Here is a 22410-nt window from a genome sequence, read left to right as displayed (position 1 = left end):
GATCTGTCCTCTCCAGACTCCACCCTTCTCCAAGGGGGACATAATCTACTCTCATCAGCCAGTTTTCAGGTAAGATGTGGTTTCTTGAAATGCCATTTTATTCTTTAGAGGGTGATTGTGGTTTTTTGTTTTGTTTTGTTTTTTCTATTTATCCAAAAATCAATGTTGGCAGTTCATTCTGGGCTCTCATCTGTCTAGTAACCGCATTCCTAGCTGTGCCTCTCCAGCTTTAACTAATACATTCACCACTTACCACTTGCTTAGTATCTTGCTATGCTCCAGGGATGGGAGAGCAAAAGAAGTACAAAACTGGATCCTTTTTTTTTGAGATTGAGTCTCCCTCTGTCGCCCAGGCTGGAGTGCAATGGTGGTGATCTCCGCTCACTGCAACCTCCGCCTGCCGGGTTCAAGCAATTCTCCTGCCTGAGCGTCCCGAGTAGCTGGGACTACAGGCCCACACTACCACGCCTGGCTAATTTTTTGTATTTTTAGTAGAGACGGGGTTTCATCATGCTGGTGATGCTGGTCTCAAACTCCTGACCTCATGATCCATCCACTTTGGCCTCCCAAAGTGCTGGGATTGCAGGTGTGAGCCACCACGCCAGGCCCCAAAACTTGATCCTTTAATAGGCCAAAATGACTGCTAGAAAATAAAACAGGTAAATGTAAGAAAGGTGAAATGAGTAATGTGGATATTAGAGAATGGAAAAATGTATGTGGTCTGGAGGGATTAGGAGAGTTTCATGGAGGATGGGGGACTTGGGATGCCTCTAAAACAATAGGTGACATTTCGATATTTGAACAAGTAAGGTGGTGGGGCTGGAGGTATGGATTCTAGGTATAGAGAAGATTATAAGCAGAAGTTCATAAGTAAGGATTAACAGATGTTACACAGGATTCAGAAAAATTTGGAAGAGATGGATTATGGCAAGTGGTACACAAATGATTGAATGAAGTCAGAATATGAAAGCCTTGAATACCTGGATGAGAAGTTGAAGGCTTTATTGTGTAGGCCATTTATGAACCATTAATGATTTTTAATGGAAGAAAAGTGACCTGGACTGATTGAGAACTTAGACAAAAAAGGTAACAATTGCTCACCAGCCATAATCAACCTCAAGCCCTCCTCCTTCTTAAAATTTCCCCCCTGCTTAATTCGTGTTCCATAACTGAATTTTCTTAACAAAGAAATGGTACCAGTTCTTCCCACTTTCAGCCGAAGTACTTTTGGTATTTTTTTTTTTAATTGGGGGGTATACTGTGACAGTAAACTGCACATATTTAAAAATATATAATTTGATAAGTTTTGTCATGTATACATTCATGAAACCATTACCACAAGCAAGAGAGTGAAAATATCCATAATCAGAGAACATACCTTGTGTGACTTGAATCCTTTCAAATTTATGGAGACTTGTTTTTTTGTCCAGAATGTGGTACATCTTGGTAAACTATCAGTGAGCACTTGAAAAGAATGTATGTTTTGCTATTGTTTTATAGAATGTTCTATAGATGTATTAGTTTTCTATTGCTGCTATAATTAATTGCCATAAGCTTAGATGGCGTAAAATAACACAATTTACTCACAGTGTTAGAAGTCAAAAGTCCAAAATAGGTTGTCAGGACAGCATTCTTCTGAAGGTTCTAGGGGAAGAATCTATTCCTTGCCTTTTCCAGCTTCTAGAGGCTGCTGTGTTCTTTGTCTACTTATTCTATCTTCAAAGCTAGTACTGTGGCATCTTCAAATTTATCTCTCTCTCTCTCTCTCTCTCTCTCTCTCCCTCTGACTCTGACTTGTCTTCTGTCTTTCTGTCTCCTACTCTGATATGCTTACCTCCCTCTTATAAAGACCCTTGTGATTACTCTAGGCTCACCTATGTAATACAGAATAATTTCCCCACTCAAGGCCCTTAATCTGATCACATTTGTAAAGTCTCTTTTGCCATGTTAGGTAACAAATTCACAGGTTTCAGGGTTGGGACATGGACATCTTTGGGAGGGCTTTGTTCTGTATACCACAGATATCAGTTTGGTCAACTTAGTTGATAGTGTTCAAGTCTTTTATATCCTTACTGATTTCCTGTCTGCTTGTTTTATCAGTTATTCTGAAAGGGGTATTGAAATCTCAGACTGTTGTGGGTTGGTCTGTTTCTCCTTGCTGTTTTACCAATTTTCGCAAATATATTTTGAAGCGCTGTTATTAGGTGCATAAACATTTAGGATTGTTATGTTCTCTTAATCAGTTGACTCCTTTATCGTTGAGAAACAGTGTTTTTAATGCCTGGTAGTATCTTTTGCCTTGAAATTTACTTTGACATATGGTATATATTTTTATATATTTTTGCTTTTAACTTATTTGTATCTTTATATTTAAAGTGAGTTACTTACAAGCAACATGTAGTTGGGTTTTGCTTTTTTTTTTTTTTTTTTTTTTTTTGAGATGGAGTCTCTTTCTGTTGCCCAGCCTGGAGTGCAGTGGCGCGATCTCAGCTCACTGCAAGCTCCGCCTCCCAGGTTCATGCCATTCTCCTGCCTCAGCCTCCCGAGTAGCTAGGACTACAGGCACCTGCCACCATGCCTGGCTAATTTTTTTGTATTTTTAGTCGAGACAGGGTTTCCCTGTGTTAGCCAGGATGGTCTCGATCTCCTGACTTCGTGATCCGCCCGCCTCGCCCTCCCGAAGTGCTGGGATTACAGGCATGAGCCACCGCGCCCTGCCGGGTTTTTCTTTTCTTTTCTTTTCTTTTCTTTTTTTTTTAAATAACAGAACTTTATTTCTCACAGTTTTGTAAGCTGAGAAGTTCAAGATCAAAGTGCCTGTAGATTCTGTGTCTGGTTCGTAGATGGTGCCACCTCCTCATGTCCTCACATGATAGAAGCTCTATTTTTTTTTTTTTTTTTTTTTGAGACAGAGTCTTGCTCTGTCGCCCAGCCTGGAGTGCAGTGGGGCGATCTCGGCTCACTGCAAGCTCCGCCTCCTGGGTTCACGCCATTATCCTGCCTCAGCCTCTCCAGTAGCTAGGACTACTGGCGCTCGCCACCAAGCCCAGCTAATTTTTTTGTATTTTTAGTAGAGACGGGGTTTCACCATGTTAGCCAGGATGGTCTCGATCTCCTGACCTCGTGATCCGCCCACCTTGGCCTCCCAAAGTGCTGGGATTACAGGCATGAACCACTGTGCCCGGCCGGGTTTTGCTTTTTTTATCCAATCTGGAAATCTCTGCTTCTTGGGGTGTTTAGACCATTTGTATTCAGTATGATCTTACATGTAATGTGTTACATTTAAATATAATGTGACTTTTGATATGGATAAGTCTTTTACCTTGCTGTTTGTTTTCTATTTGTATTGTCTTTTTTCTTTTTTTCCTTCTATTCTTACCTTCTTTTGGATTGAATATGCTTATGATTCTATTTTATCTCCTTCATTAGCTTATTAGCCATAACTCTTTGCTATTTTACTTGTTGCTTTAGGGATTCATATTTGTTTTAATCACCATTTACTTTCAAGTGATATTCCATTTTACTTAGAATAGTGTATTTCCATTCCCCCCACCACAGTTTTTATGCTATTGTTGCCATACATTTTACTTGTTACATATGTTATAAATCCCATAATACTTTGTTGTTATTTTCTTTAAGCAGCCAATTATCTTTGAAAGAGATTTAAGTAATAAGAAAATAATTGTGTATAATTATTACAATGCTCATTGTGTAATGATCATTTTCGGTATTCTTTATTCATTTTTATAAATCAGTAGTTCACAATCGTGAGTGATTTTGCTCCCCAAGGAGCAACATTTGAGAGTGTTAGGGAACTTTTTTGATTGTCATGACTTGGTAGGGAGTGCTATTAGCATCCAGTGGGTTGAGACGAGTGATGTCTCCATACACAGGACAGGCCCCCACACTTTTCTAAGAGAATCATCTGGTCCAAAATATCAATAGCGCCAAGGTTGAGAAACCCTGGTGTCGAACCATATTTTCATCTGGTTTTTTTTTTTTTTAATCTGGTCGAAGGACTTCCTTTAACATTTCTTGTAGTGTAGGTCTGCTGTGAATAATACTTTCAGGTTTCTATGTCTAAAGAAGTCTTTATTTTGCCTTTGTTTATTAATTCTAGTGTGACAGATTTCTTCTTTTCAGTATTTGATATTGCTCCAGTGTCCATTGTTTCTAACAAAAAAGTTACTGTTGTTTTTATCTTTGTTTTTTTATATTTGTGTGTCTTTTTTCCTCAGATTACTTGTAAGATTTTTTTCTATCACTGAGTTTAAACTATTTGATTATGATGTATTTTGGTGCAATTTTTTTGTGGTTAAAATCAAGTTTGGAAAATAATCAGCTGTTATTTCCTCAAAAATGATTTCTGGTCCCCTCTCATCTTTCGCCTCCTGCCCCAGTACTCCAATCACACATAAAGCAGGCAACTTAAAGTTCTCCTAGAGCTCCCCAAGGCTCTTTTTTTAAAATTATTTTTTTCTTTTATTTTGAATAGCTTTGATTTCTGTGTCTTTGAAGTTACTAATCTCTCTTCTTCAAAGCTTACTCTTCTGTTAATACTAACTGGTGAATTTTTTTAAATCTCAAAACATTCTCATTTTCAGCTCTAAGAAGTTCCATTTAGTTTTTTTTTTTTCTTTATTATTATTATACTTTAAGTTTTAGGGTACATGTGCACAATGTGCAGGTTTGTTACATATGTATACATGTGCCATGTTGGTGTGCTGCACCCATTAACTCGTCATTTAGCATTAGGTATATCCCCTAATGCTGTCCCTCCCCCCTCCCCCCACCCCACAACAGTCCCCGGAGTGTGATGTTCCCCTTCCTGTGTCCATGTGTTCTCTCTTTTTTTTTTTTTTTAAATGTCTTTCATATCTCTGCCTAACGTTTTGAACATTTTGAACATATGGAATACAGTCATAAAAACTTTTGATGTTCTTGTCTGTTAACTCTAACGTCTCTTCTGGGTTGGTTTCAGTTGATTGACTTTTCTCTTTATTATGGGTTATATTTTCCTGCTTCTCTGCATTGCCTGATAATTTTTTTTTTTTTTTGAGACAGAGTCTCACTCTGTCGCCCAGGCTGGAGTGCAGTGGCACAATCTCAGCTCACTGCAACCTCTGCCTCCTGGGTTCAAGCGGTTCTCCTGCCTCAGCCTCCTGAGTAGCTGGGATTACAGGCGCTCACCACCATGACTGGCTAATTTTTTTGCACTTTTAGTAGAGACAGCGTTTTGCCATGTTGGTCAGGCTGGTCTCAAACTCCTGACCTCATGATCTGCCTGCCTAGGCCTCCCAAAGTGCTGGGATTACAGGTGTGAGCCACTGTGCCCAGCTGCCTGATAGTCTTTGATTGGATGCCACACACTGAATTTTACCTTATTGGGTTCTGAATATTTTTATATTCATATAAAATATTCTTGGCCAGGCGCAGTGGCTCACACCCGTAATCCCAGCACTTTGGGAGGCCAAGGCGGGTGGATCACGAGGTCAGCAGATCGAGATCATTCTGGCTAACACAGTGAAACCCCGTCTCTACTAAAAATACAAAAAAATTAGCCGGGTGTGGTGGCGGGCACCTGCGGTCCCAGATACTCGGGAGGCTGAGGCAGCAGAATGGCGTGAACCTGGGAGGTAGAGCTTGCAGTGAGCCGAGATCACGCCACTGCACTCCAGGCTGCGCAACAGAGAGAAACTCCGCCTCAAAAAAAAAAAATTCTTGAACCTTATTCTGGGATGCAGTTAAGTTACTGGAAACAGTGTGTTCCTTTCAGGCCTTTTAAGATTTGTTAAGTGGGCCCAGAACAGCATTTAGTCTCAGCCTATTTATTCCTGACCATAGAGGCAGGACCATTGAGTATTCTACCCAATGCCTCATGAATTATGAAGTTTTCCATTTTGGCTAATGTATTTCTAACCCTTTTTGAGTGCTGGTTCTGGTCCCTTGACTCCTTTAGGTGATTCTTTCACTGGCCTCAGATAGTCTCATCACACCCATGCACAGATTGGTACTTTTCTGAATACTCAAGAGGGAACCTCTGCAGTTTTCCTTGCTTCTCTCTTTGTGTAGCTCTCTCCGCTCCAGTACTGTGTCTTGTGAACTCTAGTCACCTTGATTTTCCCAAACTCTCAGCTCTATCTCTTGAGTTCCAGAAATCTGCTGGGCTCCTCCTAGGTTCCACCTCCCTACACCAGTGTTTGGAAACTCTCAAGGCAGTAAGCTAGAGCAATTGTAGGGCTCACCTCATTTGTTTCCTGATTCTCAGGGATCACTTTTCTTTGCTACCTGAGGTTCAGTGTGATGGAGACTTTTGTTTCATTTTGTCTGGAATGTATTGTTTATTTCATGTAGGAGAGTAAATCCAATTATTGTTAATTCCATCTTGGCCACAGCTTGATTCTATTGACATTTGTATTTTAAACTGTAAGCATTGTTAGGGCTGATCTAGTGTAGCCTTACTCTAGGGCTGTGTTTCAGGGACCCATGACCACGCTTTAGTTCAGTGATTTGTTGGAATGATTCATATGACTCAGTAGCATAAATCATGGCTAACAAATATTACAGCAAAGCATACAAAAGAGGATCAGAAGGAAAAGGGTATTCATAATCAGAGTCCAGAGAAATCAGGTACAGGCTTCTGAGTCCTCCCTCTGTGATGATTATACAGATACACTTTCTCTGTTACTGTGAGCCACAGAAACATGAAGAATGTCTACCCAGGGAATCCTGCTTGAGTCTTGGAGTCCGAATTCATAAAGGTTGCTGATCACATTGGCCTTTACCTGCCATATGACCAGCTATAGTTTAGACCCCACACTCGGCACCTGGTACACTCATAAATTTCCGTGTTTCTTTAAACGATGTTGACAGTTTGGTACATCTTGTCCCAGTGCACTGGGCACACAGAATAACGTCATTAATCAGTGACTAGGCACACAGAATTATGTCGATAATTAGTGACCATGGAAATGTTCAAAGGTTTAGTTTTCAGAACTTGTTCAAGGATCAGAACCAAGGATCTAGGCATCCCTGGAATTTAGCAAGGAATGAGCCAACCAGACCTGCTGCTTATATTCTTTCTTCACAGTCTAGACTTGCCCTGCTCCTAAAGTGTCCTGGAACTGTTTGTGGGGGCCGACTGTGCACATAACTTCTCAACTCTATTCAGTTATGTCATGTTGGTAACTTTGCATTGCCCATGGAGATTGTATTTACACCAGATTTGTGGTATTCCTTTTCTCTGCAGCTCCCTCCTCTCCAGTATCTATCCTGCAAATTCCCTGCCTCAGTAGTTCTGAACTTTCAACTTTGTCTCCTCAGCTCAGTAAGACCACTGCTTTGGTAGAGCTCTGCCTCCCTGCTCTGCAGTCTGGACAGTGCCTCAGGCAAAAAGTTAAGGGGATTCTGGGGCTCATGTTAGTGTTTCCCTTCTCTCCGTATCACTTCTGTCCTGCCTGCTGTTCAAAATATGAAAACACTTGTTTCAGATATATTGTTCAGTTTTATTTATATTGGAAGAGCTAGTCCAGTTGCTTTGTCATGGTTAGAGGGAAAAGTCCTAATGATTTAATATATTTATAGTTTTTAAACAAAGTTATTGCTCTCTCACTTAGTTTTAAATACATAGCAATAAAAAAAGCAGGAAGTTGCCTGCATTGCCTATAGGTCCCACTACCCAGTCCCACCAATAGTATTTGGTTGAGTATTCTTTTAGATTTTTTTCTGTTCATTTACATATAAACGTTCTTCCTATTCATAAAAAGAAAAGTAGGATTATACCCTAGAGTTCAGTGGTATGATCATAGGTCACTGCAACCTCGAACTTCTGGGTGGAAGCAATCCTCCCACCTCAGCTTCCTGAGGAGCTGGGACTACAGGTGCGTGCCACCACGCCCAGCTTATTTCTATTTTTATCTTTAGTGCCGATGAGGTCTCACTGTGTTGCGCAGGCTGGTCTTGAACTCTTGGGCTCAAGCAGTCCTCCCACCTTGGCCTCCCACAGTGTTGAGATTGCAGGTGTGAGCCACCATGCCTGTCCTCTTGTGTACATATTTTCTAATGAGTACGTATAGATATACATCATTTGATAACTATCTATATAAAGTGTTTTAGTATGGGTGTACTATATATTTTTTAACCACTATCCTATTAATGGGCATGTAAGTTTGATTTTTTTTCCTTCCACACAAATGATGTTGAAATGGCAATTGTACATATGTCTTTGTACCTAGAAGTGTTTCTGAATAATAAATTCCTAGAAGTAGGAAGACCAGATCAAATGGTGTATCCATTAAAGTTTTGATAGATCTTGTCAGATTGCCCCCCAGATAGATTGCATTTGGGTTCTGTTTCCACCATAGGACACATGAGCACTTTAGCAGTGTTACCCAGTCTGATATTTTACTGTTTAACTATATTTTTAGGGGAGGGGAGCATCTTTTCATGGTTTCACATTTTCCTCGGTGACTTGCCTATTTGGGTTGTTGGCCTTTATTGTTGCTATTGTTGTGGGTAGTTGATCTTTTTTTTTTCCCTTAATTTTTAGTTGACATGTAATAATTGTACATATCCATGGGATACAGAGTGATATTTTGGTACGTGAATACAATGTGTAATGATAAAATCAGGATAATTAGCATATCCATCACCTTGAACATTTATCACTTCTTTGTGTTGTGAATATTCCGAATCCTCTCTTCTACTTTCTTGTAATTATACACTAAATTATTGTTAACCATATTCACGCTATAGTGCTATAGACACTGGAACTTATTCCTTCCATCTACCTGTAACTTTGTAACTGTTAGCCAGTCTTTCCCTAGCCTTCCCTCCTCTACCCTTCCCAGCCTCTAGTAAGCACAATTCTACTCTCTATGAGCTCGTTTTGTTTTTGTTTGCTCCTACATGTGAATGAGAACATGCGATATTTATCTTTCTGTGCCTGGCATATTTCACTTAACATAATGTCCTGCAGGTACATCCATGTTACCACTAATGACAAGATTTTATTCTTTTTTAAAATGGCTGAATGGTATTCCCTTGTGTATATATACCACATTTTCTTTATCCATTCGTCTGTTGATGGACATTTAGGTTGATTCTATATCTTAGCTGTTGTCAGTAAAGCCATAGCAAACATGGGGATGCATGTGTCTCTTTGGTATACTGATTTCCTTCACTTTGGATAAATACCCATTAGCGGGATTGCTGGATCATATGGTAGTTCCATATTTAGTTTTTTTGAGACAGTGCCAAACTGTTTTCCATAATGGTTGTACTAATTTACATTCCCACCAGTGTTGTATCCTTGCCAGCATTTGTTATTTTTTTTTTTGTCTTTTTGACTAACTGGGGTGAGATGATATCTTATTATGGTTTTGATTTGCATTTAGTGATATTGAGCATTTTTTCATATATTTGGGTGTTTATATGTCTTCTTTTGAGAAATGCCTATTCAGATACTTCACCCACTTTTTAATGGTATTATTTATTTTTTTGCTGTTGATTTGAGTATATTCTGGATATTAGTCCCTTGTGAGATGAATAGTTTGCAAATATTTTTGCCCCTTCTGCAGGTTGTCTTGAACTCTGTAGATTGTTTTTTTTTTTTTTTTTTTTTTTTTACTGTGCAGAAGCTTTTTAAATTGCCTTTTGTTTATGATGTCTTATAGATGTTTTACATTGTTATGTGGTTATATCTATCGATCTCTCTCTCCATCATGTAAATTTTGCCTTCCAGATTTCAAGCTTATACAAATATTTTCCTGTTTTTTATTCTATTTTATTTTGACTTTTTCTTTACGATTTCATCTTTAGGTTGGCAGGAATTTTTGTGTGTGTTGTGAAGTAAGGATCTCACCTTAATTTTTTTTTCATAGACAGTCGTTTGTTATGGCATGATTTAGTGACTAATCCATCTTAACTAATTTCACTTTTAACTTACTTTTAATTTAACTAACTTTTAACCAATTTGAAAGCTGCTTAATGCCTTTTAACTCTTATAAATATGAATCTGTTTCTGGATTTTCTATTTTATTTCATTTTGTTTTATTCCAGACTAGGCCATTTTTAAATTACTTTATCTTTTGAAATGTATTAGGGCAAGTCTTTCCACCTCTCTTTTTCAAAAAACCTTTGGGTGCTCTTGCACATTGTAGGTAGTAAAAAATATTGATGATAATAGTTAAACCATTAATACTTAGCGGACCTTGGAACACAGAGATGATGATGGTAATGATGACGATGAAGGACAACAACAATGGCCATATTGACTGAGCACTTATTATATGCCAGACGTTAAATTAAGCATTTCACATGGAATGTTTTATTTAATTCTCACAATAACCCAATGGATGAGGCACTGTTTTTACATTTATTTCATAAAGGAGAAAATGTCAAGATTATTTTGCAGACATCCTATAGACTGCCTTACTTCTGTCAGTATTGCTAACTTTACCCCTTTCCTAAGTAAATGCTTATGGCTAAGCAGAAATATGTTTGGTATTTCAGGAAGCGGTGACTTTCAAGGATGTGATAGTGGACTTTACCCAGGAAGAATGGAAACAGCTGGACCCTGGCCAGAGAGATTTGTTCAGGGATGTGACATTGGAAAATTATACACACCTGGTCTCTATAGGTAAGGATAATTTCTCTGAGTTAATATCAAGGGGTGTGCAGGAGGAGGGTTCTCTCTTGTGCTCAGGGGAGTTTGCCTTTAAGTTTAGTAACCAACCATTTCTAAATTTCTAGTTTTTGAAAAGGTTTCTACCATCCTAGCAAGCAGAGGGACAAAATAATAATTTTCCTGAACCCCGATCAGTTCCCAAATTATACTCCCACCATGTCTGGGAACTGGTAACACTAAAGCTTGATATGCTATCCACTCCCATCAGGTTTTTACTACATATCATTTCTTCTAAAGACAAAGTGGTGATTGAATTCTGATATGGTACTTTCCCCTTACTGCAGGTTTCTTTCTTTTTTTCCCTAATGAACAGGACTCCAAGTTTCTAAACCTGATGTGATTTCCCAGTTAGAGCAAGGGACAGAGCCATGGATCATGGAGCCAAGCATTCCAGTAGGTACCTGTGCAGGTAAGTCATGGATGCCAGCAGATGAATATCATTAACTCCGACTGTCAGCCTGATAAGAGAGGATTTTATGTCTGAAGTGTAGATGTACTTTCTTCCCTTTAAAGTATTTCCTGTGGAGAAATGGGAAAACATCTGTTTTCTGGACTTTCTTATGCTTTGTTATGTCACTAATTGTTGCAATATATATTCTATGTTATGCCCCTTTTTGAGGAGATGTCCTTCCTACCTTTCTATGAAATCCACCTCTCGAACTGGACTCTGAATTACATCTCTTTCTACTTCCTTTAGGACCATGATCTCATAATTATCACCGTACTTTTCAGTCCTTACAATTTTTTATTTTGGATCTACGGGCTCCATTCCCAGTACTTTTAAATAGAAATACATAACCTATATTTCCAAATAGATTTACTCCACAATATGAATCTTTATGGCCACCATTCAGTTTATCTTTTCTTTCCCAAGCAAACTCAACAAAAATGAATTCCATAACTGCAGGCTTCGTTTCTTTATCACCTAATTCTTACCTAGTAACATGTATAGCTTCTGATTTTTTTTTTCTTTTTTTGAAACAAAGTCTCATTCTGTTGCCCAGGCTGTAGTGCAGTGGCGTAATCTTGGCTCACTGCAGCTTCTGCTTCCCAGGCTTGAGTAATCCTCCCACCTCAGTCTCCCGAGTAGCTGGAACTACAGGTGCACGCCACCATGCCTGGCTAATTTTTGTATTTTTAGTGGAGACACGGTTTCGCCATGTTGCCCAGGCTGGTCTTGAACTCCTGGGCTCAAGTGATCTACCCGCCTCAGCGTCTCAAAGTGCTGCAATTACAGGTGTGAGCCACTGCACCTAGCTAGCTTCTGATTTTATCACTTCATCATACAGTTTTTGAAATTATGAATAACTTTCTTCTAAATCATCAGTTTCCAAACTGCATGAAGTAACCTAAGGATCTGACCCTGGAAAAACAAACAAACCTAGTCATTCTAGGTAAGCGATACGTCTCTAGAGTTAATGGGATGTAGGTGAGGTTCTTCTTTACGGGGGAAAAATGTATGCCATGTTCAAACTTTAGCAAGTTTCTAACTGGAGTACCACTCAGAGATTTTTTTTTTAAATAGGCAGTTAGGTGTTATGAATGCTCAACAGGGTTGCATAGAATGTAACATCTCCCAACCCCCGCCCTGCCTCCAACAATGAATACTTTTTTTTCATATCACATCTGTAAAATCTTTCTCTTAGAATGGTTTCATGGAACATACTTTAGAAAGCTTAATTAAAAAAAAGAAGAAGAACTTTAATAACTGGGGCTTATGGTTAGTTAACTTTTGGAAAAAGCAAGTTGTCAAGTTTTATTACAAATTAAAAATGAAATTTTACTTGACCAGATAGAAAACCATTTTAAACCATTAAAATGTACATTGAAAAACTTAGGCTTTTCAAAAACTACTTTTTACCAGAAAGATTTATTTAGGCAAAAATAATAACCCCCACCCCCATGTTGCATAGATAATTTTTATAGTTCCACTTACCTGGTCAGTGAACAGAAGGCAAGCACTTGAGATATTTAGCTCCATTCTTTTGGTTACTTTTTATTGCTGGAATTTGACCTGATGATGATAGTCTTGGTAAATCAGCCCTCAAGTCTATCTTTATCAGCATCTAGAATAGATTTATTCTTAGCTGGTGAGTTGGCTGCTTTTGTCTTTATAAAAATGTCGTATAGTTTTGTAGATATCTTTACAGCTAGTGATATTGTGACAGTACCTATGTTGAGTTTGGCCACTAGCCCTGGGCCTAGTCTACCTAATTTCCCTCATCCTCTTTATTGCCATCTTCTCGGAGCTGTCTTGATGATCTTGACCCTCAGGATCATGATCTATAACCCTGATATGTATCTGTCTCACTGGTCTATCTTGTTTTCTTGTCCCCTGGTTGTCAACACCCTCGATTACTTCTCCACACATGGGACATCAGAATAGTATAGTCAATGTCTGTAGACTTTGTTTGTAGTAAAGGGAGAATTGCTTCTGCAATAGGGATGGTATTTTTCAATCTGGTCTTTGGGAACTTTCTCCATCCCTTCATTTTTTGCCCTGCCCCTTATATTCTAGTAATTCTGTTGGTTATTGAGTAGAGGACATGACAATATAGATAACATTGGCCATGGCCTGTTTCATGTTGCCTTTGAGTGGAACTCCAACCAGGGTTGGAGATCTGCCACTTCCATGCACTGTTCTTTAACAGCATCAGACTCCATGGTCTCCATATCTTTCATTGTGAAGTACTTCCAGAGGTATTCTTTATGGCTACCTGCTTTGCAAACATACCTTCCTTGGTGTCATTTCTGTTGATGAAAACATATTTATTTCTTGAACAATCGGCTGTTTCCAAACCCTGTATTGTATTGATGTCGTCCCTCCTGTAGAAATTCTACTGCTGTGAGGCTGCCTACACTAATACGTGCTGTGCTGTTACCTGTAGTGCCAGGTGTGGAGGGGATGCTAGGCAGCTCTGAGGTCTGCCGCACTGCTCATGCTTGCGGTGATAGTGGTAGTGGTAGTGATAGTGACTGGGCTTGCAATATGGGAAAGATTCAGGATCCTCTGGGGTCTGCTGTAAACTCCTGATACCATTGAATCTGTTCTTTAAGAATATTGCCAGCATTGACTACCCTGCTTCTTTTAGTTGTCATCTCTTTTGTTTTGGGCAACAGTTTACTTCCTGATTATGTACTTTCCTGGTTATGTTTCTTCTGTTGTTTTATGTGTTTGCTGATAAACTGCTTTCTTTCATTGGTATATTTTATTAATTCTGTTACCCTGACTATTCTCAAGGATCTTCCCTCTGCCTCTGCTCTTTTTCACATATATTTCTAAGGCTTTAGCTATTCTTGTCCTTCTTTTTTTGAGCTGATACTTTCCATCCTACATTTGAACATCCTTGTTATTCTGATGTTGGCATCTTTCACTTCCACAAACGCTACTATAGTCCAGCTCTCCATTTCTTTTCTTAATTCTCAAAATGCCTAGACTTGAACTTGTTAGTTTCTCCCTGCTAAATTATTTCTCTACTATTTACAACTCTTCCCATATCTAGCAATGATGTGATTATTTCTTCAGTGTTCCAGGCTGAAACACATGGGGTCTTAGCTAATAAATCTTTCCTGTTTGTTCTGTCTTTAAATCATGGTTCTTGGATTTTTTGTTTTGTTGTTTATTAGCAAGGAATCCCAATTCAAACTGCCCCCTTCAGATTCAGTTCATCTCTGTCTACTCTTAGCCATCTCTGTTGTCACCTTTTTAGTCAACTATTACCTTAAATGTATTTCCTTACTGGTTCTTGAAGATTATCTATGAAATTGAATTAGACATTCTTTTGCCACTTTCGTATTTTATTTATAATTCTCCTTAGCTCCTTCCAACTTTCTCCCCAAATAATATGGCTATATATTTGAAAACCATTAGAATTTTCTGAGAGATTTATTTTTCAGTATCATTATATTATTCCCACAATAGCAGTTTATTTTTTCTCTATTCAGAGAACACTGGAATTTTCTTTTTCTTTTAGACTGGGAGACAAGACTTGAAAATAGTGTGTCAGCCCCAGAGCCTGACATTTCTGAAGAAGAGCTATCTCCAGAGGTAATAGTGGAAAAACACAAAAGAGATGATTCTTGGAGTTCCAACTTGCTAGAAAGTTGGGAATATGAAGGCAGTTTAGAGAGACAGCAGGCAAACCAACAGACACTGCCAAAGGAAATAAAGGTAACCGAAAAGACAATACCCAGTTGGGAAAAAGGCCCTGTAAATAATGAATTTGGGAAAAGTGTCAATGTGAGTTCAAACCTTGTAACACAAGAACCATCTCCAGAAGAGACCTCTACTAAAAGAAGCATCAAACAGAATTCAAACCCAGTTAAAAAAGAGAAATCTTGTAAGTGCAATGAATGTGGGAAAGCCTTTAGTTATTGTTCAGCTCTTATTCGCCATCAGAGAACACATACTGGAGAAAAACCCTACAAATGTAATGAATGTGAAAAAGCCTTCAGCCGGAGTGAAAACCTTATAAACCATCAAAGAATTCATACTGGAGATAAACCATATAAATGTGATCAGTGTGGAAAAGGCTTCATTGAGGGTCCATCTCTTACTCAACATCAAAGAATTCATACTGGAGAAAAACCATATAAATGTGATGAATGTGGGAAAGCCTTTAGTCAGAGGACCCATCTTGTTCAGCATCAGAGAATTCATACTGGCGAGAAGCCATACACTTGTAATGAGTGTGGAAAAGCCTTTAGCCAGAGAGGCCACTTTATGGAACATCAGAAAATTCATACGGGAGAAAAACCTTTTAAATGTGATGAATGTGATAAAACCTTCACCAGGAGCACACACCTTACTCAACATCAAAAAATTCATACTGGAGAAAAAACCTATAAATGTAATGAATGTGGAAAGGCCTTCAACGGGCCCTCAACTTTTATCCGTCATCATATGATTCATACTGGTGAAAAACCGTACGAATGCAATGAATGTGGGAAAGCCTTCAGCCAGCACTCAAACCTCACTCAGCATCAAAAAACTCATACTGGGGAGAAACCCTATGATTGTGCAGAATGTGGAAAATCTTTTAGTTACTGGTCATCCCTTGCTCAACACCTGAAAATTCATACTGGAGAAAAACCTTACAAATGCAATGAATGTGGAAAGGCCTTCAGTTACTGCTCATCCCTTACTCAACATCGGAGAATTCACACGAGAGAAAAGCCCTTTGAATGCAGTGAATGTGGAAAGGCTTTCAGTTATCTCTCAAACCTTAATCAGCATCAGAAAACTCATACTCAAGAGAAAGCTTATGAATGTAAAGAATGTGGGAAAGCTTTTATTCGGAGTTCATCTCTTGCTAAGCATGAAAGAATTCATACTGGAGAGAAACCCTATCAGTGTCATGAATGTGGGAAAACCTTCAGTTATGGTTCATCCCTTATTCAGCATAGGAAGATCCATACTGGAGAACGACCTTACAAGTGTAATGAGTGTGGGAGAGCATTCAACCAGAACATACACCTTACACAGCATAAGAGAATTCATACAGGAGCCAAGCCTTATGAGTGTGCTGAGTGTGGTAAAGCCTTTCGACATTGTTCATCTCTTGCTCAACATCAAAAAACTCACACAGAAGAAAAACCCTACCAGTGTAATAAATGTGAAAAGACCTTTAGCCAGAGCTCCCATCTAACTCAGCATCAACGAATTCACACTGGGGAGAAGCCCTATAAGTGCAATGAATGTGACAAAGCCTTTAGCCGGAGCACTCATCTGACTGAACATCAGAATACTCATACTGGAGAGAAACCTTATAACTGTAATGAATGCAGAAAGACTTTTAGCCAGAGCACATATCTCATTCAGCACCAGAGAATTCATTCAGGAGAGAAGCCTTTTGGATGTAATGATTGTGGAAAATCCTTCAGATATCGCTCTGCTCTCAACAAACATCAGAGACTGCATCCTGGCATATGACAATTCTAGGAACATCATAAATTTAGGGGAGATATTTACTTTAGTTTGTCCTTTTGTTAAGTACTGAAGAATCAGAGTGGATTTAGAAACTGCCTTGAAATCTTTTAAATTTTCACTATCATGTTATGGAATGGAAAGTACATTGGGCTGAACTAATCCAATTGTTATTAAGCCACTCTGTGACATTAGAAAACTCTACTGTTTTAAGCTTTAGTTTCCTTTATGGAATGAAGGATTTGGAGTAGATTATTTCAAAGGTAGTTTGGAGTTTTATAATCAGTTTTGTATATTTACAATATTTTCTTGAATGGGTTTACTATACATCAGCATTTTGCTGTGTTGCATCTAGAATGTGTATGTTTATGCATGTTTTGCCAATAGAATTTGTGCTTCAGTAACTAGATCGGGGATCTAGTATGCTCCTGGTCTAATGCATTTACATTGTTTAGGTAACTGGTTCCTAATAAAAAGAATTATAAAATACCCTCAAATTAACAATTCAATTGCATATAATAGCCTAACTCAGTAAGAATATTAAAACTTACTATTATTCTTCTTCTAGTCTGTTTTTAATATTCTAGGAGTTTACCACAACTATAGAATTCCACTTCTACAACTTAAACTGGTGTTATTTTACCCTGGTTGCATATTGGAGTCACCTGGTGTCTTAATTTGTGCTGTTATGTTAAATTACAATAGACTAGGTATCTTAAACAATAGAAATTTGTTTAAAGCTGGAAGAGGCTGGGAAGTCCAAGATCAAGGTACTAGCAGATCCAGTGTCAGATGAAGGCCCATTTCCGTTTGCAGACACCTCTCTTCTTCTTGTGTTCCTACATGGTGCTAAGCAGAGACAGAGCAACCTCTCATATCTCTTTATAAGACTACTAATCCCATTGGTGAGGGCTCTACCCTTATGACCTAATCACCTCCCAAAGGCCCCCCTCCTAATACCATCACATTGCAGATTAGGCTTTCAACATAGAAATTTGGAGAGAACATATTAAGTCCATAACACCTGGAGAACCCTATAAAATTATCTTGCCAAGGCCCTACAACTCCAGAGACTAATTGCCTTAGGAGATAGGACCCAGGCATAAGTGTTTTTTCTTAAATTCCTAATGTGTACACTGGAAAGAAAAATTGGCTTGTATTTGTTTTGACAGTCAGTGAGATTACAGAAGTTCACATGATCCTGGTTTTTGTATCTCCTTTTTGTGTTTCTCAAAAACATCTCTACTAGCTATTCCAGACCACATTCCTGTTTCCCAAAGCAGGTGGATTTACAATTGCTCCTTTTGCTCAGACATATCTATCTAACTACACTTTGGTGAACTAAGTCACATATTTACCATTTTTTCTCCTTACCTCTATTTTAAGAGCAGAGGGAGGAAGTTATTTTAAACCATTTCTTGGTCTTTTTTTTCTTGATTGTAATATACAAGTCATATATGCCATAAACATCTAGTATAATACCAACATTAGTTTCTTAATATTTACCATACTGAGAGAGTAGAGCAAAGTTAAAATCTTTTTTTTTTCTTTAATTTAAGAGACAGGGTCTTGCTCTGTCACCCAGGCTGGAGTGCAGTAGCATGATTATAACTTACTGCAGCCTCAAACTGGGCTTAAAGGATGCTCCTGCCTCAGCCTCCCAAGTAGCTGGAACTATAGGTGCATGCCACCATGCCTGGCTAATTGTTTTAAATTTCTGTAGAGATGGGGTCTGGCTATGTTGCCCAGGCTGGTCTCCAACTCCTGGCCTCAGGCAGTCCTCCTGCCTTGACCTCCCAAAGTGTTGGGATTACAGGTGTAGTCACCACCCTTGGCCCCAAATTAAAATCGAAGGGAGAATTGGCAGAAGTTATAAGTTTTTCCTTGAAGTTGTAATGAATCCAGAAAAATAACAGAGGGATTCCCTTACAGGTTTAACATTTGCTAACAAACTGACCAGAAATAAAAAGACCTCGGAAGTTATCAGTAAAGCCAGCCAGTTGTTTATGAGGCAAGGAATTGTCTACTATTAACAAAAAGTTCTAATACCTTCATGTGTAATTTATTTGGATGTTTCAATGTCCAAGATTGGGCATATAGAGACTAAGCATTTTCCTCTAGGTCCTAGATTGGCACTTTCCATGTCTGCCAGATTATAGATATTAAACCACTTGAGTAGTTTTTGCTAAATGACTGTGAGGGAAGCAGAAAAGAGAGAAAATGTCACGTAACTTAGTCATTCATCCTTAAACATTTAAGTCTTCATTAAAAATCATTCAACCACAGCCAATGCTTATGAGGTGGCTGAATTAATTATATTTGCAGGGGTTCAGAAATAGACAAAGCCAAATATTCTGTTGCAGAGCTCACATCCTATTATAAAGAAAGTTGTAAAATGCCAAGGGTGGTAAACATAGATAATAAAGCAGGGTGAAGGGCTTGGGCAAGACTTCCATCATGGGTTGTGGTGGTGCTATTGTAGACAGAATGGTTAGGAAATGCCTTTCTTGGGTTCACATGCTTGATATGGGGGAAAAAAAAAAAGGAAATGCATTTCTAATGACTTGTCATTGGAGCACACACTTGGAGGTGGTGAAGGAATGAACTAGGTAGATATCTGAGAGGATAACATTCCAGGCAGAGGTACTAGGAGCCACAAGTATCCTGAGATAGGAGCATTTGGCAGTTTCAGAAACACTGGCTGGATTGTAATAAGTGAGGGTAGGAGATGAGGTCAGAGAGAGAGCTGGGGGTGTAGTTCCTCAGGACTTTCTTGGCTATGGTAAGGATTTAGCATTCTATTCAGAATGAGATGGCAAGTCATTGGAGAGTGTCGGGCACAGATTTGAATTGTTTAAAAAGGGTCACTTGCTGTAATGTAGGGAATAAATTATAAAGCGTTAAGAGTACAGGCAGGAATTTAGTTGGAATGCTAGTAGTCCAGGTAAGATCGAATGGTGGCTTAAACAAAGATATTGTTGACAAAACGATGGGAAGTAGTTGGACTGAGGCTGTATTTTGAATGTACAGCAGGTAAGGTTTGCCTATGGGTTAGCTATAAAAGTGAGAGAGAAGTTAGGGTGGCTTTAAGGACTTCAGCCTTAGCAACTTGAAAGGATTTACCATGTACTGAGATAGAGAATACCAAGTATGCAGTAGGTTCACAGAGGGGATGAGGAATCAGAATTCAGTTTGGGAACTTTTTAACTTAATAAAAAACAAAAGAACACAAAATATAAATGTGCAAAGTGAATATATCTGTAAACTTATCATCTAGGTCAAGAAATGGAGCACTACTGGCATTCCAGTAATGCTATTTCACCCCTCAAATCACAGCCTTTTTCTTCTTCCCCAAAGGTGACTATTATCCTGAGTATTAATTCCAACAATTAGATATGGTGAGGGCCTTTGTGCTACATCATCTGATGGCAGAAGGCATCACATGGTGAGAAAGGGTGAAAGTGTGTGAGACAGAAAAAAGGGCCAGACACCCATGATAACTAAGTCACTCCTGTGATAATGGTATTAATCCCTTTATGAGGGCAAAGCCCTTATGACTTAATCAGCTTTTATTTGTTTTTTTGTTTGTTTTTTTGAGACAGAGTTTCACTCTTGTCACCCAGGCTGGAGTGCAATGGCATGATCTTGGCTCACTGCAGCCTCTGCTTCCTGGGTTCAAACGATTCTCCTGCCTCAGCCTCCCGAGTAGCTGGGATTACGGGCGCCTGCCACCATGCCCAGCTAATTTTTGTATTTATAGTAGAGACGGGGTTTCACCATGTTGGCCAGGCTGGTCTTGAACTCCTGACCTCAGGTGATCTGCCTGCCTCGGCCTCCCAAAGTGCCAGGATTACAGGCATGAGTCACTGTGCCCGGCCGACCTAATCACCTTTTAAAGGTCCCGCCTCTTAAAACCATCACAATGGCAATTAAATTTCAACATGAATTTTGGAGGAGACATTCAAACCATAGAATTTTGCCCCTGACCCTCAAAACTCATGTTCTTCTCACATAGAAAATACATTCATTCCATCCGAGTAGCCCCAAAATTCTTAATTCATTCCAGCACCAACTCCAAAGTCCAGAGTCTCATCTGAATCAGATGTGGGTTGTAGTCAAGGTATGATTTATCCTGAGGCAAATTCTCTCCATTCATGAGCCTGTGAAATCAAACAAGTTACCTATTTTCCAAAACCCAACAGGGAAAACATTAAGACTTTTTTTTTTTTTTTTTTTGATTGCAGTGGCACAATCTCCTGCCTCAGCCTTCTGAGTAGCTGGGATTACAGGCACTTGCCACCGCGCCCAGCTAATTTTTGTATTTTTAGTAGAGACAGGGTTTCACCAGGTTGGCCAGGCTGGTCTTGAACTCCTGACCTCAAATGATCCACCCGCTTCAGCCTCCCAAAATGCTGGGATTACAGGCATGAGCCACTGTGCCTGGCCAACATTAAGTCCTAAAGTGGGAGAATAATCTCCTTTGACTCTTTGTCCTACATCTAGGGGTTGGGGTTGGGCAGCCAAGGCCTCAGGCAGCCCTGCTCCAATGGTTCAGTCCATGCAGTAGCTGTCATGGGTTGGAGTCTCGTATCTGTAGTTCTCCCAGGCTGGTGTTGCATGCTGTTACCCCCACAATTCTGGAGTCCTAAGAGTGGCCCTACTTCCATGCTCTACTAGGCAGCCCTAGTGGAGACTCTGTGTCAGCTCTGACCCCGCATTTCCACTTGTCATTGTCGTAGGGGCTCTCTGCAGTGGCTGTGTCCCTGCACAATTCTCTGCCTGGGCCCCCAGACTGTCAGCAACATCCTTTGAAATCTAGGTGGAGGAAGCCAGGTCTTCACAGCTATTGCATTGTGCATGCCTGCTGCATCAGCACCACATGGACACTGCCAAGCTCTACAGCTTGCATTTTCTGGATCAAGCCATACCTGGGCCTAATGAGCCATGGCTAGGGTGGCCACAGAGTGCTGCTCTGGAACCCCAGGAGCAGACCTGAGGCAGCTCTGAGCTGAGTCCATGGAGGGTGCCTTGGGCCTTTCCCCTAAATCATTTTACCCTTTTAGAGTTCTGGGCCTGTGATTGTAGGGGCAGACTTGAAGATCTTTGAAATGCTTTATGGTCTGTCTCCCATTGTCTTAATGAATAGCACCTTCCTTTTGTCCATGTTTATCTCCTTAGTAAAAAGTCACTTAGCCACACACTTAGTTTTCTCTCCTGAACATACTTTTCTATTATTTATATGGCCAGGCTATACATTTTCCAAATATTTCTACCCTGATTCTCTTTTAATTATAAATTCCATCTTTATTTCTTTCCTCTCACATCTCATTGTATGCAGTTAAAAACAGCCACACAGCAGTCTGAATGCTTTGCTGCATAGATATTTCTTCCACCAGATATCCCAGTTCGTCACTGTTAAGTTCTGCACTTTATAAGGCCCTAGAACGCAGACACAATCCCCCAAGTTCTTTGCAACTGTATACAAGGATGGCCTTTACTCTAGTTTCCAATACCTTGCTCCTCATTTCCATCTAGGACCTCATTAAAATAGCCTTTACCAATTTTCTGTTTTAGTCTTTTTTTTTTTGCTATAACAGAATACCACAGACTACATAATTTATAAAGAATAGAAGTTTATTTGGCTCATGGTCCTGGAGGCTGAGAAGTCAAAATGCATGGCACCAACAAATGGTGAGGGCCTTCATATTGCATCATCCCATGGCAGAAGGCATCATGTGGCAAGGGAGGGCAAGAGCACTTGAGACAGAAAAAGTGGGTAGAACTCCAATGCTAACTA

At 39.4% G+C, this 22410-nt stretch overlaps 1 protein-coding gene across 7 annotated transcripts in view, besides 2 other annotated features; it reads left to right on the top strand.

The window, feature by feature from the left end:
• ZNF184 (zinc finger protein 184) overlaps nucleotides 1-22410 on the top strand; it is a 69100-nt gene that overhangs the window by 5184 nt on the left and 41506 nt on the right. For 3 of the 7 annotated variants that reach the window (NM_007149.3, NM_001318891.2, NM_001318892.2), the window contains exons 3-6: nucleotides 2-69; nucleotides 10513-10639; nucleotides 11001-11096; nucleotides 14662-17175. In NM_007149.3, coding sequence (NP_009080.2) covers nucleotides 2-69; nucleotides 10513-10639; nucleotides 11001-11096; nucleotides 14662-16619 — 2249 coding nt within the window. In that variant the 3' untranslated portion in view covers nucleotides 16620-17175. Of the gene's footprint in view, nucleotide 1; nucleotides 70-10512; nucleotides 10640-11000; nucleotides 11097-14632; nucleotides 17176-22410 lie in introns of those variants that run through there. The other 4 variants (NM_001347832.2, NM_001318893.2, NR_144688.2 and 1 more) reach the window with 2 other exon arrangements.
• Nucleotides 15206-15406: a silencer, noted in NCBI's record as "peak5743 fragment used in MPRA reporter construct". NCBI's record gives its function as "represses an SCP1 promoter by STARR-seq MPRAs in K562 erythroleukemia cells {active_cell/tissue: K562}" and the evidence as "EXISTENCE:reporter gene assay evidence [ECO:0000049][PMID:32103011]".
• Nucleotides 15966-16166: a silencer, noted in NCBI's record as "peak5742 fragment used in MPRA reporter construct". NCBI's record gives its function as "represses an SCP1 promoter by STARR-seq MPRAs in K562 erythroleukemia cells {active_cell/tissue: K562}" and the evidence as "EXISTENCE:reporter gene assay evidence [ECO:0000049][PMID:32103011]".

This window comes from Homo sapiens, chromosome 6, assembly GCF_000001405.40.
Source record: "Homo sapiens chromosome 6, GRCh38.p14 Primary Assembly".
NCBI lineage: Eukaryota > Metazoa > Chordata > Mammalia > Primates > Hominidae > Homo > Homo sapiens.
This window is presented reverse-complemented; position numbering and strand designations above follow the sequence as displayed.